Source organism: Homo sapiens, chromosome 5 (assembly GCF_000001405.40).
Source record: "Homo sapiens chromosome 5, GRCh38.p14 Primary Assembly".
Lineage (NCBI taxonomy): Eukaryota > Metazoa > Chordata > Mammalia > Primates > Hominidae > Homo > Homo sapiens.
This window is the reverse complement of record NC_000005.10, coordinates 175697897-175716754: the sequence shown is the minus strand read 5'-3', so window position 1 is coordinate 175716754 and position 18858 is coordinate 175697897. Positions and strand designations below refer to the sequence as shown.

The following is an 18858-nucleotide window of genomic DNA, read 5'->3' as shown; positions in this document are numbered from 1 at the left end:
ACTGTACCTCACGAACTCCAAATTCTTCTCCCACTATTATGCAGATAAATGCATTTTCAGATTCATCCAGGTGCTCAACAGAACAAAGGGAACCTAGTTAACAATAAGGGGCTTTCTTTGGAAAAGGTGGTTTGGGTTATAAATAGCACAAAGAAAATGTCCCCAGTACCACCATGTCACAGATGAGAGAATGAGACTCAGGGGCCTGTGTCAGTCACCTAGATTTCCCTCTCTGGCTCAGGCTTTAGATCAGATGACTGCTCGGTCCCTGGGAGAAGATCTTGGAGTCAACTCAGAATGAGCTCTGTCCCTAAGTCTCTAAGAGAGGTTCAATTTCAATGCCCAGAGCAGCCCTGCCTTGGCACTCAAATCCTGGACTGAGCTCCAAGGTTGGTGGAGGACCTCCGTTGCTTTGGGGAGGGGGCCGCCTGCAAGGTCTTGACATTTGGAAGGCTCAGAATTGACAAGTCAAGAATGTACCGTTTAGAGTTGGGTGTGTACATCTCATGGGTGGCAACTGCATCCATGTGGGATCAGGGAAGGCTGCATAGGCTAGATCAGGCAGGGCTGTGAATGTCAAGCCAAGGAGCCAGCTCTGCATTCAAAGGTAATGAAAGCTACAAAGGCATTTAAGCAGAATAACACTCAATGACTTGCACTTTGGCAGTAGCAGCAGCTGATGCTTATTGAGCACATGACATTGTCTAAGCTCTTTGGTTGCATTGTACCAAGCCCTTTGCAGGCATGACATCCTTTGAAACCTTCCAACAACTCTGTAAGATACCACCAATTTTCCCCATTGGTGGATGAGGGAATTGGATTGTGACTTGTTCCCTCAGCTGGAATTCAAAGCCAGTCAGATAGCATGACCTGCTGGCTCTGAGATGCCCTTGGGGACACAGGGAGGTGTCCATACACACTGGACGAGGAGGGAATGAGGACCGGAAGGCTAGTGGGGAGTCCAAGAAAGGTACGGCGAGGCCTGACCTAGGGCAGTGGTGATGAAGATGGGAGGAGCGGGCCCACCGAAGACCCTTTCTGAGGTCCAAAGGCTCTTGGGATCTCTCTCAAGCACTGCAGAGAAACCCTGGTCAAGACAGAGGCAATTCCCAATCTCTCTGTATTTCTTTTCCTTTGAGGTCTCCCTGCTCTCTCCAGTTCCCCTGGAGGAGCGGAGGGAAGTGTGTGTGCAGTGTTGTCATGGCAGAGGGAAATGGAGGAGGCATCCTTGGCGGTGTGTGCTCTGGGCAGGGGCCACACCCCACCCCTACCTTCTCCTCTAGGGGCTCCCCCAGAGTAACAGGGCAGTTCTGTTCCTGAGTCCACAAACTGGTAGTATTCTGGTCAAACATGGCCTGGAAAAAGGCTTGGTTGCTTCAGTATATCATTTTTTTTAAAATTACCAACTTTTCAAAGAGAGATTTATCTAATTTGCCCTCCTCCTCTCCCTTCTTTCCTCTGTCCCTCCCTTCCACCTATCCACTTACTTTAACAGGTATACAGCATTTACGATGCCCCCAGCATCCTTCTTAGAGCTTTACAAATATTAACCCATCTAATATTCCTAATAAATATCCAAATTTATGTCTTCTCCTGAAAAATAGACTCTGGGACCACAGTCCCAGGTGGCAGCGTCATCGTCTAGCAGAGTTGCTGTGGTCCCTTTTGGCCAAGGTCGTATAAACATGCGTGCAATTGGCATGGCTGCGGTGGAGATCAACAGCAGAGACATTGGTTGTAAATTGCCAGGGAGCCTCTTCTATTTGTCTTAAGCCAGTGAGCTTTGGTGGCCCCTGAAGGCATCTGAGTTGGACCCTCTGGGATGTCTGTGATGTGTCTCTTGGACAGAGGGATGTGCCAAGGGAGGAAGTAATGAATTATTCTAGGAACAGGGACAGGGATCACTTTGAAATGGAGGTGCGGCCCAAGCTGGGACTTGAAGGATGCCTGGGAAGGGAATTCTGCTGCGGACATGACCATGGAGTGAGAGCATGCACAAGAGGCTGGGTCCTGGGGCAAGAGGGGAAGGGGAGAGTGCAGCAAAGGGGGAGGGCTGTGAGTGAGCCCGGACCGTTAGGCAGAGCCAGACCATGTGGGGTGAGGCAGTGGTGGTGGGGGTGGAACACTGAGGGGCCCACAGCCAGGCAGTGCCAAGGCCCAGATTTGAGTCTTAGAGATCTCACTGTGGGGCAGGGTAGAAAATCACTGTGGTGTATGTAGGAGACTGAAGGCAGCTTCACTAATGAGGAGCTTTAAAGAACTCATTTCCAGTCAGTTGGGGGACCCTGTCTCCATCCTGAGACCCCTGCTCTGCAGGGCTCTGGCATCAGGCAGATTTCAGGTCATATCTGGCCTGGCTTCTGTGGCGGATTAGATAGTCATTCACCCCTCACCTCAGTTCCACTGGAGAGAGAAGGGGTGGATTTACTTGCTCCATCCATGGCTTGGCCATGGGACTTGCTCTGGCTCATGGTGTGTTTGCAGAAGAGAGGCCCAGAAACTTGAAATGCATATGTGTTGCTGGGCTTGTCTCTTATGTTCCTGCCGTTTCCCAGAGAAGAACATGCCTGGGTGGCCCTGCTGGTCCCAGGAGAGCATGGGAGACACCTGAAGCAATGCTGAACCATCCCAGCAGAGCCCATCCTAGATTAGCTGCCTACAGATGAATGAGCTAAATAAATATTTACTGCCACATGCCGAGAGATATTGTGGATGTTTGTTACACAGCACTCCTGTGGCCACTCTTAGCTGATACAGCCTCTAAGAGCTGGGTGACTCGGGCAGGGCTGGCTTCCTCCACAGAGATCCAAGGAGGAAGGCAGGACTTGGTAGAGCTCATGAAGAGCCTGGGGTGAGCCTCAGGAGAAGTCTGAGTATTTCTTCTACCTACCTTTTCTGTCCTGCACTGGAAGTAGGGCATCTCTAGGAGGACTAGAAGGACTAGAAGGCACAGGTGGGATGTTGAGGCTGTAAAGAGACAATTTCTTCCCAGTGTTGCTGGTGGGAGTGTGAACATGCTTTGCCTCTCTGGAGGGCTGTTAGGCAGCATGTATACTCCACATCCAGAAAAACACTTGCAGGTACACTTATGCTAAACACACACACACACACACACACACACAACCAAAAAAACTGCACTTGCACACGTGCATGAGATGATCAGCATATCACTGTTTAAACAGCCAACAAAAGAGAAATAAATGTCTGTGGCTAGGAAGACAGCTAAACTGTGGGGTACCTACCAATACCAATAGCACGGAACACCTTCCCATGGCTAAAAATAATGAGGAAGATCTTTATGTGCTAGCATGGTTGAAACTTGAAGACATACTGTTGAGTTTGGTTCCTTAGGTGCAGTATAACTTTTCTGTTAAAAAAACAAAATAAATAAAACTGATCCAAATACCATACAGCAGACTAGGATAACAGTGGTTGCATGCAAAGAAATTGCTAGGGAAAAAAGATTGTTGGCAGGGGGTCAAATAAACTCTACTTTTCTCTGTAATGTTTCCATTTTAAAAAGAGATTGTATGTCTATTATCAGTTATGTCCTTAACAATTAATTTCAAGATAAATGTATAAAGAAAAGACTTGGACTTTGGAGACAAGCGAATCTGGCTGGAGCCCCAGCTATGCTGCTTGTTCGGGTTGTTAATTTTGGAGTTGTTAACAGCTCATGGGGATGCTAATCTCTACCTGGGATGGCTGGTCGCAGAAGAGACGAGCTGGTGGCTGCAGAAGGGCTGACATCATGTCTGGGTACAGGAAGGGGCTCGTAAAAGTCAGTGGAAAGTGACAGATGGTTTATCTGGGAGCCACGTGGTCCAGACTGCGTCCCTTTGGGGCCCTATTTCCCCGAGAGTCCTGCCAGGCCCACCAGATGCACGAGAACTCTGGCAATGCCCCAAATGGCCCCGGTGGTGAGGGCCAAGATCAGGCCAGACCAGTGCAGCAGCTTGCCCAGTGGCATCTCAGGACGTGAGAAGCACTTTGTGCTCTGTGACCTTGAATGAGGAGGTCAGGGACACGGCACTGACTTCTGCAAAGACCTCCGAAACATTGAGTTATGAGCCCTGAGGTCTGTTGACAGTTGGGGCAGTGGGGGTGGCGGGGCTCCTTCCATTCACCCTGCAGGCTTGAGGGTCCTGAATTCTCACTGGATGCTTGGAATTCCGGTGGCAAATGTGTGTCCCCAGCGATGCTTTCCTGCTTGTGTGACATGGGGAGAGCCACCTGAACTCTCTGAGCTCCATTCCCTCATCTGGACAATGCGGATGATGAACTCTCCCTCGACAGTAGTCTTGATGGCCACACCAAGCACGGGGAATTTCCGGGTGCTTTGCTGGGGCTCACAGCAAAGTCACTGTGAGTAGAATGGGATTCTCCATCCCACCCAGCTCAGCTGGGATGGGATTCCAAACCATCCCTCAATCTGGCTACCGAGCAACTCACCCACCTTGCATCTAAACTGGGTTTAAACACCACCCGAACCAGGGTACTCAGGAGCCTTTTCCTCTAGAACCTCACGGCTCTTGGGTCCACTTCCTCCCACACTCGAGCACTGCGCCTCCCTCCCAGCCGCAGCCACCCCACTTTCCACACAGCTCATTTCTTCCCTCATTCCCTTGTAACGTTTTGGTGCATGCCCATCTTTCAGGTGGGCACGAGCTTTGATTCCTTTGGGTTCCCAGATGTAGCTTGAGGTCTGCAGTGAGCAGATGCTCATAGAATGTTCCTGTCCACCCCCACCTGCTGCAGGGGACTCACGATCTGCCCCCGATCCTCCCCCTGATCTATTTTCTCCACTGGAGCCTGAATACTCTTTTCATAACACAGACCGCATCATTTTAGCCCCCTCTGCTGAAAACCTTTCAAAGCCTTCCCGTGACTCATGGGAGGAGACACAATTCCTGATGTGGTCGCCAAGCCTCCAGTCTGCCCATGGGGCCTGTTTGGGGCTCACATCCCCTAGTCTTAGTAGTTTCCCAAAGACTCTCTGGTCTCCTTCCCCCTCTGCAACCCCATTCCCCTTTGCCTAGTTAACGATCACAGTTTTTGCTTCTCCGATTCCCACTGGTGGCATCTGAGCCTGCCGGCACAGGATTCTGGACGTTGTAGTTCCCAGGCCCCAGTCCTGGCTGCTTGACTGTAAAGAGCCCCGATATTCATCACCCCCGTGGCTGTCGCTCAGGGGTTAGCAGTTCAGTTCAGGACTGCTTAGCATCATCTGCCAACCCGATTTACTACCTTCACCTTTCCCAAGTCTTCCAGCTTTGTCTTTTCTCCCCTGAAATATATATTAAACTCATTTTCAGCCGAGCAGTTCCTGTAAGCTTTGATTTACACACAATCTCTTCTCTGCTTCTTGTGAAAATTTGTCAAGGTGTGTCTTAGTGGGTTCTTCTGGAGGGTTGGAAGCTCAGAATTTCACAACCTCTAGCTTCCTCCTACCATGCCAGGGAGCACGGCTCACGGCTGACATTGCGGTGATCAAACATCATCCTCAACTCCGGCCTGCCCCCTTCCTTCCTCCTCAAAACCCTTTTGTTGGTAGCTCTGGGATTCATTCCTTGCACAAAATCCATGCATTTTCTCTTGACCTGGTTTTTACTTGTGCCTCATCCACCCACTCTCTATTGTGGGCTTGTTTGATTGGCAAGTTTTCTATTTTAAAGATACCTGTTTCTCCCACGTAAAAAAGGTGTCTTTGCATCTGACAGTTTCAGAATTATTCCACTCCAGGAACACTTACCAAGCTTCTCCCAACTACCTGGGTCTCCAGGTCCTTCTGATCAGCCAGCCCTTCCCTCATTTCTGGTGTGGCTCTTTAAGATGAAACTAGCTTCTGGAAAACGTCTTTACTTTTTGAGGCAATTTTTAATTTGGCCTTTACCCCAGCATTTTATCATGACTCTTTTTCTAAATCAAGACACCGTATGATGAAGTTTGGGAAGCATTTCCTCACCAGGAAGTTAAAAAATAAAACCGTGAGGCAGCATCTGTTTCGATAGTTTTATTGGAACACGATGGTAACACAAACATGGATTTGGGGTCCCACCACAGATGTTCCTCCTCCAGGCAGCATGCACCCCACTTCTGCAGCCAGCAGAGGCTCCAGGAGGCCTGCAGAAGGTGGAGGCAGCCCAGAGACAGACGTGGAGGCGTCTTCTGCAGTGGCGGGTGGTGCGTGGGCCCCTCGGGCCAGAGCTCTGACCAGCTGAGTCTGTGAACAGCCAGACTGGTTTGTTTTCACTTGAGGTCATGTGGCCGTGACTGAGAGACCTGCCTGCCTCAGACTCCTGGGAAAACTTCCAAGGAGGGGGATTCTGGGGATTCCAGAAGGAATTCAGCCAAGAGACTAAGCACCTCTGGGGGGATCACCAGGGCAAATCATGCCTTTAGGTTTATTGGCAGATACACTGCTGAAAGCATCTGTTTTGGCCACTCTCTGCACTCTCTTTTCTCTGATCATTCATCCAACACATATTTATTAAGCTCCTACCATGTGACAAACTCTCCTCTAGGGGTTAGACAGACAACGGTCACCAGAAACAGACAGGACCCACAGCCTGGTGAGGAGGAGAGACAGACAACGTTCAAGGAATCACGCAAACAGCCATGCCAGTGCCTTCCAAGGAGAGCTCTGAGGGGTGTGGCAGGGGGCCTGGTTTGGTGTGGAGGGTCAAGGAAGACTTCCTCAAGGAAGTGACATTTCAGGGCACTAAAATGAGCAGGAGGAGCCTTTCCTCACGGAAACAGCTTTGAGCATGGAATGGGCAGAGTGAGTTAATCAAACTAAAAGGAAAAGAACAGCAGGGCCAGAGTGAAGTGACGGAGGAGGCCTGGCGCAGGGGGAGGCTGGAGAGGGCCCAGCAGGGTCCCAGCACACAGGGCCTGAGGGCTGGGCTGAAGATGGTTTTATCTACCTGTGTGGCATGACCTGGGTTGCATCTGGCATGGCCCACTCTGGCTGTCAGGTAGGGGGTGGACTGGGTGGGGGCGAGAGTGCTGAGAAGAGGTGTTCCAACTGTCCTGATGGAGACAATGGTGGTCGGATGGAGTGACACAGAGTAGATGGGGAGAAGCCAGCAGACAGTGGAGCCAGGGCTCCATGAGGACTGAGGCAAACGGAGGTGGCAAGGTGGACCCTCAGCCTGTGAAGCCCGGGCAGGCTTTGGTCTGAGAAAGGGACCTGGGGAGCAGAGCAGGTGCAGGGAGAAGGCAGGCACGCAGCTGCAGGCACGCAGCTGCAGACACGCTGAGGGAGAGCGCCTCTGAAACTCCCAGGTGGAGGTGTTGCGGAGGCGGCAGTGGGTCTCAAGCTCCCGGAAGGAGCCAAGCCTGCAGTTATAAATCTGTGAGTGATTTCATAACCAAACCTCGTGCCTTGTAACTGGAGTTGTGGGTGCAGACGAGGTCACAGGAGGAGAGATGCTGAGTGAGAAGAGAGGACTCTGGACTGAGACTGAGGAACAGCCACATCTGATGGCAGGTAGAGGACAATGAGTTGCAAAAGGGACAGAAAAGGGAGGTCGGGGATGTCAGGGAGGGGGAAGATCATGAAGCATCTTGGAAACCAAGGAAGATTGAGTGTCAGGGGCCAGCCAGGAGATGCCACTGAGAAGCCCTGGGGGTAGAAGTCCCTCCACAGCCCCCTCTCTCTGGGGCTGGCACTACCCTATCTCTTTGAGTCTCTTTATGGATCCTGTAAATAGGAACAGGGGGCCTACCCTCTTGGACAGGGGAATCAAAAGCTGCTTAGAGTGGTCAGGAGACGTGCCCAAGGTCATACGGCCACCAGAGAGTGCTGGGGGCCAACTCCCCCATTCACAACCATTACAGTCCCTCAAGATCCATCCCTCCCTCCATGATGCCTGGCTGCAGACACTCTCTCCAGCAAGTCCACCGCATACCACTTCTTGATGACAAGCACCAGAGAGGGTCATACTGTAGCAGGAAGGGACCCCCAGAGCCTGGGGGTCTAAGCCTTGCTAGGAGGAAGGTGGCTGAGTCAAGGAAATATTTGCCTTCTCTCCTGAGAGGTGGTGTAGTGCAGTGTCAGTAGTGTGGGCTTGAGGCCTGGCTTTTCACCCGTTCTCTCATTCATTCACCCATTCAACACATATTTTTGTGTGCCTCCTATGTGCTAGGCACACTTTCTAGGTGCTGAGTGGCCTTGGGCAGGTCCCTTACTTCTCTGAGCCTCAGTTTCCATCTCTGTAAAGTCGGGGTGTGATTCTTGCTCTAAACTCATGTTGCTATAAGGGTTACGAGAGCTCATGCCAGGGAAGCACCTGGTACACAGTAGGTGCTCATGAAAAGCTATTTCCTTCCTTTCTCTGTCTTTTCCTTTCCTTTCCTTCATCCTGCAGAACCCATGAGGGAGTGAGAGGCCAATGCTTTCTTCAATACCCTCTGCCTTGCTCAGAGGTCATGCACGTCCCTACACGTATGCACCCATGCACACACATGTGCACGCATCCCCGTCTGTCCCACCGTCTCTGCTCATGACTCCCAGGGCCAGCACCAACGTGAGCTTTGAACCCATGGGATTCAGCCCACTCGGGCCCAGAGGAGTCTTGCGTGCCTGTCTGGGAATGCTGAGCACAGAATAGGCTGTTCCGCCCTAGGCCTGAGGACCCCACACCCAGCTGTGTGTTCTGGGAGCCCCCAGATTCAGTCCAGGGTGAGTCCTTGGTGGCTTTGGAGACTGGGTCCTTAGGAGCTCCAGGAGTCACATCTTGGGGACCGGGAGCGGTATCTTCAGTGTCCTGGGGCTAGGTCTAGACAGCCTCAGAGGGCAGCGTCCTCACCGCTTTCTGGGGAGGTCTCTTCTGTGGCTCCTCAGACAGTGGCTCCCCCGATAGCTCCTCCGAGGGGCCTCCCATGTGTCTCTGAAGGAACCTGAGCCCCCACAGGCTCTTGCAGCAGCTCAGGAGGTTGCTGGAGCACGTAGTGCAGGACAGTGCTGGCTTCCTGAGGAGACACAAGCACATGCCAGGCTGAGGTGGCCACAGAGCAAGGCGGGGGCAGACCAGGTTTAGCCTCTCAATTTTGCTTCTACTAAGCCAGGGCCTGGGGAGGGTGGGATGGGGTGGGGAGGGGAGGGGAACCGCCCTTTGCCACCCAGAGCAGCCTATAGGCAACAAAGACTTCTTCCCTCAACCCACAAGAAGGAGTATTCAGGAGACTTGCTTTGAAATCCTAACTCTGTTTCTAACATGTTGTGTGCCTGTGGTCAATTTACTTACTGTCTCTGGACTTCAAATGAAGATAAAAATATCCAATTCACGATTTTTGTTTTGTTTTTGTGTTTGTGGTTTTTGAGACAGGGTCTTGTTCTGTTGCCCAGGCTGGAGGGCAGTGGCGTGATCATAGCCCACTGCAACCTCTAACTCCTGGGCTCAAGGGATCCTCCCACCTCAGCCTCCCGAGTAGCTGACACTATAGGTGCGTGCCACTATGCCTGGCTAGTTTTTTAAAATTGCCTTTTTTATAGAGGTGGGTTGTCACTCTGTTTCCTGGGCTGGTCTTGAACTCCTGGGCTCAAGTGATCCTCCTGCCTCGGCCTCCCAAAGTGCTGGGATGACAGGCATGAGCCACTGCTTGCAGCCCTCACTTTTCCTACTCCTGAAAGAATTCAGTGTTACAGAATACATATAAAAGTAAGCACACACAGGCTGTCTGGTAGTAGGAGCCCCGTCAAAGTGTGCCATTTCCGAATCTTAGTGAGATGATTCCTGAGCATCTGCAGCATGCCCCGAGTTGGGGAAGAAGTTTGGGAGAAGTCTGAGTTACTCCATCTGGCATTCAAATCAGCTGTGAACACCTCGGCCACCAAGGGAATCAAGCGTACTGCTCCCTCCCCCTTCCACATAGAGAGAGGGAAGGGAACCGTCATGCCTTTAGCGTCCACCTGATGATAGCTGTGGGTTTGGAGGCCTGACTTTGTAAAGCTTTGTGAACAAGGACATAGCTGACATCTGCGCTTCCTTCCATGTGAGGGCATGTGCCGGCCAGGCCATTGCAGAAGGCCTGGGTGTGGCCCTTCCTCCCTGAACACCCCACCTGCACCTGGGCCTCAAGGTCATCCCTCTGGCATTTCAGAGCCTGTGGGCGTCCTTTACCATGTTAGCAGTGTACATATTTGACCAAGCAGGCAGGTATTTGCCCTTGCATTAACATTCCAGATGCAGCCTGTGGCTCTGAGAAGGCAACTCTCATTGCACTCGGTGAAATTATCAAAGAACAGCTAGCTCTAGGCTAGGAAATAACCACCTCCCTTCTTCTAAGGGGCCTAAAAATCCCTAAAAATAATGCTATTTTGGAAATACCGCATGTTCATAGTAACAAATTCAGACCATAGAGATTAACTAAAAAGAAAATAAACATCTCAATTCTTCCTCTATTCAGTCATATCTCTTTGTTACATGTCAATTTACTCATTAAATATTTTTAAATGAAATGCATTAAGCATCCAAAGAGACGCTATATAAAACACATATACATGGCTTAAGGACTATTGAAAAGCATACCAGTGGAACCACCTGTCAGATTAGGAAACTGAACTTTTCCAGCCCCTGATTTCTTTCAGCAAATATTTCTGTATCCCTAAACAATCTATCGTGTTGTTCTACCTGTATTTCACTTGTAGGTATATAAAATCGTGTTTTATGATCTTTTCTCTGTAGCTAACCTTTTGTTATTGTTTAACATTATATTGTTGATAGGTATAGCTGTAGCTCATTTTCACAGTTTTAAAGTACTTCAGGGCCAGGAGCAGTGGTTCATGCCTGTAATCCTAGCACTTCGGGAGGCCAAGGCAGGCCGATCACTTGAGCTCAGGAGTTTGAGACCAGACTGGGCAACATGGCAAAACCTGGGCAACATGGTGAAACCTTGTCTTTACAAAAAAAATACAAAAATTAGCCGGGCCTGGTGGCATGCACCTATAGTCCCAGCTACTTGGGAGGCTGAAGCAGGAGGATCGCTTGAACCTGGGAGGCTGAGGCTGCAGTGAGCTGAGATTGTGCCACTGCACTCCAGCCTGGGGGACAAAGTGAGACCCTGTCTCAAAAAAAAAAAAAAGTCTACTCTGGGCACACTACCTGTAGGGGTAGGTAGTCCTGCTCCATAAGAAGCAGTTAAAAAACAAACACACAAACAAACAAAAGATTGGGCATAAGTTGATAACTATTTACATCTGTGTGAGGGGTTCAGGGAGCCTTACTATGTATATGTTTAAAATGTGCCATAATTTTTTAAAAAAAGGTATTTCATTGTATGAATAGACTTCAATTTATTTATGCATTTATCTGTTGAAGGACATCTGGATTGTTTCGAGTTTTTTACCATTACAAGAAATGCTGCTTAGGACTTCACTGGACCTGTCCCCCGGTGTATAGGTATTTGAGTGCTAGTTGAATTCTCTATCCTTTTCCACTGGTCTATTTGTCTATTCTTGCAGCATTACCACCAAGGACTTAATTGCTATATCTTATTTTTTCCTGTTTGGAAAAGACTTGGCTATTCCTGAGCCTATTCTCAACCATACAGATTTTAGAATCAGCTTGTCCATTTCTATGAGAACACTGTTTGGATTAATGGGAATTGTTCTGAACATACAGATTAATTTGGCAAGGAGAAACATCTTTATAATATTGAGTCTTTTCCTCCAGGATCTATGAGTCATTTGAATTAATGTTAGGGTATAACAAGGGTATTGCACATAAGATCAGTATACAAAATTCAGTTGCACATATGGAGTCCAATTCTCTATGTATCAGAAAGAGGTAGCAAGAAAATGCAATTTATAAAAGGATACCACACTTACAACAACAACCAAAATCACAAGGCACCCAGGTACTCATCTAACAAAAGACATACTAGATTTTTATGAAGAAAAGTATATAATCATTGAAAGATTTATTTAGCTCTTCTTCAATGTCTAATTTTCTGATTGTTCTTATAAGTGGTAGTTTTCAAAAGTTGACAATGTACGTTGATTTTATGTCTGGCAATGCTGCTCAACTTTCTCATTCATGACAACAATTTGTAGATACTTTTTGGTTTCTGTATAGAGGATGGTTATTAGCTGTGAATAGTAATAGTTTTGTTTTCTCCCCCTTATTTTTTTAAATTTATTTTTCTTGTCTTACTGGACTGATCTCCGGTAATATGTTGAATAGAAGTGTGATGGCCAGCTCTGCTCCTTATTTTAGAAGTGGTTTGTTAGTGTTTCCTCAGGTTAAGGAAGTTTCCTTCCATTCAGAATGTGCTCAGAGATTTTGTTTTGTGTTTCAAATCGTGAATAAATGCTTAAACTTACTCAGTGTTTTTTTTTCTGCTTCGATTGATATAATATTCACAGAGTTTTTTCTTCTTTAATTTGTTGATGAGCTGAATTACATTAGTAACATTTCTAATATTAAAGCAACCTTCTATTTCTGTATAAATCTAACTTGGTCATGAGGAATTATATTTTTCTTTTAAAATATTGCATGATTATGTTTTCTAATGCTCTGAAATTTTTGTAAGTATGTTCATGTTTCTGATTAGCTTGTAATTTCCTTTTTGATACTTATTTTTGAATCTGCTCTCATAAAATAAATAGGAGAGTTTCTCTCTTTTTCTCTCCTCTGAGAGAGTTTATATAGGACTGCACAGTGATCTCTTTTCTTTGAGTGTCTGGTAGAACTCATTTGCAAAACCAAATACTATTGGTGTTTTATTCATATTATGTATTTATTTTTAAAATATGGAATTCTCATGAATTTGCATGTCATACTTGCACAGGAGCCATGCTAATCTTTTCTGTATGGCTCCAGTTTTAGTGTATGAGCTGCCAAAGTGAGCCTGCCATTTTATTTATTTTTAATGGTTATATGGCAATTCAGGTTTTCTATTTCTTCCCAAGTCAGTTTTGGCAAGTTCTGTTTACTTATTCACTTCACCTTAGTTTTTTCTTGTTTTGGGCATAAAATTGATCATAATGTTCTTATTATCTTTTTTGATCTCTGCAACATCTGTATTAATATCTCCCCTTTATTATTCATAGTCTTTACTTATGTTTTTTATTCTGTTATCTTAACAAGTTTTGCCAGAACTCTTTAAAGTACTAAAGTTTGGTTTTGTTGCTCTTCTCATTATTAAATCTTTGTCTTCTGTTTCATTAATTTCTTCCTTTGTCTCTACTGTTTCCTTTCTTTAATTATCTTTGAGTTTATTTTGTTGTTCTTTTTAACTTCCTAAATTGGCTGTTTAAATCGTTAAATTTCAAATTTGCTTTTAAAAATATGAGCCATTATGGCTATATATTTCCTTTTGAGTAGCGTTTTAGTGGCATCCTATAAGCTTTGATGTGCAGTATTTTCATTGTCGTTTACTTTAAAATGTTTTCTAATATCCATAATTACTTTTTCTTCATCCCATGATCTATTAAAAAATGTTTACAACTATGTAAGAGTTTTGTTATGATTTAATTTTGTTGTAGTCAGATAATTGTTCTGTATGAAGCATATTCAGTGCCTTGAAATATGCTGATACATACTTCTTAACCTAACACATGGCCAGCTTTTTAAATATTCCATGTGTGCCTGAAAGGAATAGGTACTCTCTAGTTATTAGTGACAGTGTCCTAAGCGCTTTGTGTTTCCCAAATATTAATTACTAATTTTTTACATGCTTAGTCTTTAAATTTTGATAGAGGTATATTATACATTTTCTGCTGTAATGATTATTTGTTAATTTCTCTTTGTAGTTCTGTCAACTTTACATATTTTTGAAGCAGGGTTATTTGGTACATACAAATTTAAAATTTATCTTTCTGGTGAACTGAACTGTTTATCAAAATATGGTGATCATATTTATCTTTAAAGATGGTATATTTGGTTGGGCACAGTGGCTCACGCCTGTAATCCCAGCACTTTGGGAGGCCGAGGTGGGCGGATCTGAGGTCAGGAGATCCAGACCATCCTGGCTAACATGGTGAAACCCCATCTCTACTAAAAATACAAAAAAAAAAAAAAAAGAAAAAATTAGCCAGGCGTGGTGGCGGGTGCCTGCAGTCCTAGCTACTCAGGAGGTTGAGGCAGGAGAATGGCGTGATCTTGGGAGGCGGAGCTTTCAGTGAGCCGAGATCGCGTCACTGCACTCCAGCCTGGGCGGCAGAGTGAGACTCCGTCTCAAAAAAAAAAAAAAAAAAAAAAAAGATGGTATACTTTTTGCTTATAGCTACTCAGATTTCTTTCAGTTAGTATTTGCTGAGTATATCTTTTTTTTCCTTCCTATGCTTTCAAAAATTATGTTCTTTATATTTTAAGTCTCTTGTAAAAACATTTGTTTGGATTTAAAAAACCAAGCCTGACAATCTTTGTATTTTTTTAATTGGCCAATTTATTCCATTTATATTCACTGTAATTACTGATTTATTTTCATTCATTTCTTCCATCTGTTTTTGTGCTTTAAATTTGTCCCATTTTTTTCTAAATTTTCCTCCTCTTTTCTTGTTTTAAGTTGATTTCTTTTTCTCATTCTCTTTCCTCCATACCATATGGAATCTCTACCTTCTGTATTTTAAGTGATTATCCGAGGCATTTTGACATGCATATTTAGCTTTAAAAAGCCCAGTGGCAGGAGCCCCTCTCTCTCTTACTTGCCCCCCATGCCGTGCATAAGCTGGGATGAGACACCAAGCTGGGATTCCCATGCTGTGTAGACTCTAGTACAGATTACCCTTAATGGCAAAAACCGCAATTACTTTTGCACCAACCTACCACTTGCAGAGATTCTAGTAGGTTTAATCTTCTTCAACCCCCTTCACGGTCCCACGGCCCGTCTTTGCCCTGAGCCAGAACACTGGAAGCTATTTTAGCGGATGTTAACGGGGTTCTAGGTGTGTATAACGCGATATCTGCCGAGCAGTAAGTGTTTGTGAGAAACACCTCGTTTTCACATTTCCATCCTCAGTTCCCCTTCTCATGCTAACAGCACCTTGATTCTTCTTCAGAATTCGACCTTCCCCACTTTTTGTCCTTGTAGATTAGGTGGAGTTGACCTATTTCCCTTTGCCCTGGCTTCAGGGTTGGGCACGTGACAGTTGGTTGAGGGATAGACACATGACCCAATCCAATGAAACCAAAGCCTGGAGCTTTTTGTTAGAATAGTAGGAAAGGGACATACTTTTCCCTTGGGTCTGCAAAGATGTTAAGATAGAAGCTTGGACCTGCTGGTGGCTCTATGGGAAGACTCCGGCTGAGGATTACAGCGGCAATCCGAGCGGGAAGCCGAGTTGAAAGTTGGAGAAAGACAAATTCCTGAGGACATTTGAGCCCTTGGGTCCGACCATGCTTGAAGCTACTCTTAGTCTCTTCAGTTCTATGAGTCAGTTACCTATCTCCCAAACCCCATCCTCTTTTAACTGGGTTTCTGCTCCTTGCAGTTAAGAGAGCTCAGACTAATCATATTCCTAAATAAATGTCATTTGAATCTGACTCCCGTGTTTTTACATGGACCGTGTTATAATATGTTCAGCCACCAGGGGACAGGACCCAGTTTCAGAGCTGCTTGGGTAGCTTTGCTCAGCCCCGCTCTGAGCCTCGGTTTCCTCATCTGTGAAATGAGTTAATAATAACGACCTCACAGGGCTAATGTGAGGACAATGGATGATGAATGCCAGTGCCCCTTCCCATTTCCCTCCACTGCTTATCCTACAAGTGATCAGACAGAACCACCATCTGTATGTGTTATCCTGCTATTTCTTGCATCTGTGCTTTTGCACAGATTTTTGTTATTCCCACTGCTTTAAATTCCTGTATTTTCTTCTTTGCTGGTCAATTTATCCTGTTTTTCTTTTCTTTTCTTTTTTTTGAGACAGAGTCTTGCTCTGTCGCCCAGGCTGGAGTGCAGTGGCACGATCTCAGCTCACTGCAACCTTCGCCTCCCGGGTTCAAGCAATTCTCTTCCCTCAGCCTCCTGAGTAGCTGGGATTACAGGTGCATGCCACCATGCCTGGCTAATTTTTTTTATTATTTTTAGTAGAGACGTGGTTTCACCATGTTGGTCAGGCTGGTCTCGAACTGACCTTGTGATCTGTCTGCCTCGGCCTCCCAAGGTGCTGGGATTACAGGCTTGAGCCACTGTGCCAGGCCAATTTCTCCTGTTTCAATATTCTGTTCAGTATCATCTCCTCTGGGCAGCTGTCTCTGAGGTCTCCCAGAATTACTGGTTCCCTCCTGGCTCCTGCAGCCCCTTTGCCGAGGCACTTATGTCCCTGGGTTAGGTGTCAGCTTACTTGTCTGTCTCCTGGACTAAACAGGAGTGTCATAAAGGCAGGCATTGGATCTTTCATCATCTACCTTGTCCAAGTTTATAGTAGGTGTTCATGTGTGTTTTGGATAGTGATTCTCCTGTCTTCTAACTTCCCAAATTCACAGATGGTCAGAGGCAGTCCAGCTTCTCCCCGGCTGTCTCCGGTAGCCGGTACCCACTTTCTGGCTTTATTTCACCATCTACCTTCTCACCGCCAGCCTGTAAGAGCCTTGTGGGCAGGAACCCTTGAGGGAGACAGTGAGGGAGGTTTACCACTTCAACAAATATCTGAGCAGCAACTGCATGCTAGGAGTGAATAGGAGGAGGTGTGAGATTCGGAACCAGGAGTTCCGCGTTCTGTCTGAGCCTTCCTCATCCCCTGCTGCTGGGTCTCACACAACTCCGTCTCTCTCCATTCTTCAGTCCCTCTCCACATCTGTACAACAGGGACAGTCCTGAAGAAGAGGCTGTCAGAGCCATGAGATGAGATGGGAGAAGTGGAATGTTTTGAAATTTCAGGGAATCCTCCTTCTCTTTCTCCTCCTTTGTAAATGCTTTGTCCCTGAGGGTCCCTAAAAGCTGACAGTAGATCACGCCTCTAATCCCAGCACTTTGGGAGGCTGAGGCGGGCGGATCACGAGGTCAGGAGATCAAGACCATTCCGGCTAACACGGTGAAACCCTGTCTCTACTAAACATACAAAAAATTAGCCGGGCGTGGTGGTGGGCGCCTGTAGTCCCAGCTACTCGGGAGGCTGAGGCAGGAGAATGGCGTGAACCCAGGAGGCGGAGCTTGCAGTGAGCCGAGGTCACGCCACTGCACTCCAGCCTGGGCAACAGAGTGAGACTCTGTCTCAAACAAACAAACAAACAAAACAAAAACAACCGACAGCAGAGGGACTGGGTGCTGAGGCTCTGGGCTGATCCTGTACTGAACAACACACAAGAAACCCCAGACTGAGAGCGTCAGTTTCACCTGCATCCTGGGAACTGGCAGGTCTCTCCTTTAAGAGGAAATGGAAGCGGAGGAGGTTGGGGAGGAGAGGGGATGGCTCCTGCCCTTGGGGCCAGCCACAACCCACCTCACAGGGGTCTTTCTCATTGCCTTAGGCTATTGCTAAAATTGGAGGCGACCCTTTTCTCTAGGCCATACTTATTTTTTGGTTGTTTTAAAATACGCCATGGTGGAAATTTCAGGACAGAAAGTCACCTGGAGACCAATCACAGTGTTCTTTTCATTCCCCCTTGTTTTCTGCCACAAACCAACATTACCCAATATGCCCAAATGACCACACTTCAGCCCTCTGCCCATGAAAGGAATTCTTTTCTCACGGCCTTCTCCCCACACTTCAGCCCTCTGCCCATGAAAGGAATTCTTTTCTCACGGCCTTCTCCTGGTTTTCTGGAAGTAAGCACAGAGGGTTTGCCTGGCCCAGGATCTGCTTTGAAAGAGACTGAGGGGCAGTGCGAATGGCAGGGATGTCCCTTCAAGGCAGGGCTCACTTCATCCTGCGCTAACAGGCAGCGTGAGCAGGTTGCTGAGCAGGCCGGGGAGACTCCCAGCAAGGGCTTTGCAAACACTCTGGGTTCGCTTTTGCACCCAATGAGGTGAAATGAACCCCGTGGGACTTACTTGAGATCAACAGTTGTCAGTCACAGGCCTTAACCCCTTTTACATTTTTTCCATGACAAAGGGAAAGTGTGGGTCTGGGAGCTTTAGGCCCATAAAGGGAATTTTGATAAGGGAGCTCCTGGGACACATATCCCTGAACACTCATGAGCTATAGCCTCGGACCTGACCGGGAGGCTGCGAGACGGAGGGGGTTGGCTTTGACTCTAGCAGGATCCCTGGATTTGCTGGTGAATGAATAAGCGACTGGCAAGAAGTAGCATTTACTAAGTGCTCGTGTTCTGGGGCCTGAGCTGGGTGTTTTGCATCTTTTTTTCTGTTTAACTGTCTCAATGGCACGATAAAGCGAGAACAAGTGTGTGCGTTTAACAGACCATGAACGTGAGGCTCCACGCAGGTAAGAGCTGCCCCAGGTCACACAGTAGCAACGCTCAAATCTGAACCCAGGGCTATCCAACTTCAAAGCATGATTCTCTCCCACTGTGACATGCTGCTTCCTGTGGGGCAGACTAAATGGATTAGGCGAAACGGCACAGACGGATAATACGAGGGATACGGAGATGATCTGGGCAGGGCTGCTGGTCTCCAGCAACTTAAGGGTGATAAAATGTTTGGGTTAATTGCTGCAGTGTAAAAACAAAACTGCATGTGTGCATAACGTGAGCCTGTAAGCGAGCGTGTGCAGGTCGGTGTGCCAGTGTATGCACAGGTGTAAACTACACACAGGGGCAGGTCTGCTTGCACGCAAGAGCGTGTGTGCGCTCCAGTGCCTGAGTGTGCATGGGTGTGTTGCCTGTGAGTGTGGGTGGGCATGCACCAGCAAGATTGTATGGCCATTTCTGGCTCTGGAGTTCACAAGAGGCTCCATGGAGCAGGTGGCATTTGAGTTGGGCCTGTTGCCATGAGGGGTGTTTGGGGAGG

The 18858-nt window shown here is 47.2% G+C and overlaps 1 protein-coding gene and 1 pseudogene across 6 annotated transcripts in view, besides 1 other annotated feature; both read right to left on the bottom strand.

Annotated features, from left to right (window-relative positions):
• Window positions 1-5998: 5998 nt before the first annotated feature.
• HRH2 (histamine receptor H2) overlaps window positions 5999-18858 on the bottom strand; it is a 52686-nt gene continuing 39826 nt past the window's right edge. For all 6 annotated transcript variants that reach the window (NR_160284.1, NR_171689.1, NM_001393461.1 and 3 more), the window contains one exon: window positions 5999-8976. Coding sequence is in view for 4 of the 6 variants with exons in the window: in NM_001393461.1 (NP_001380390.1) it covers window positions 8784-8976 (193 nt within the window). In the remaining 2 variants the exon portion in view is untranslated. The remainder of the gene's footprint in view (window positions 8977-18858) is intronic.
• Window positions 12751-12857, bottom strand: RNU6-226P (RNA, U6 small nuclear 226, pseudogene; annotated as a pseudogene).
• Window positions 17340-18237: an enhancer, noted in NCBI's record as "H3K27ac-H3K4me1 hESC enhancer chr5:175125521-175126418 (GRCh37/hg19 assembly coordinates)". NCBI's record gives its function as "activates a minimal SCP1, AML or CMV promoter by ChIP-STARR-seq in primed H9 embryonic stem cells {active_cell/tissue: H9 hESC(primed)}" and the evidence as "EXISTENCE:reporter gene assay evidence [ECO:0000049][PMID:30033119]".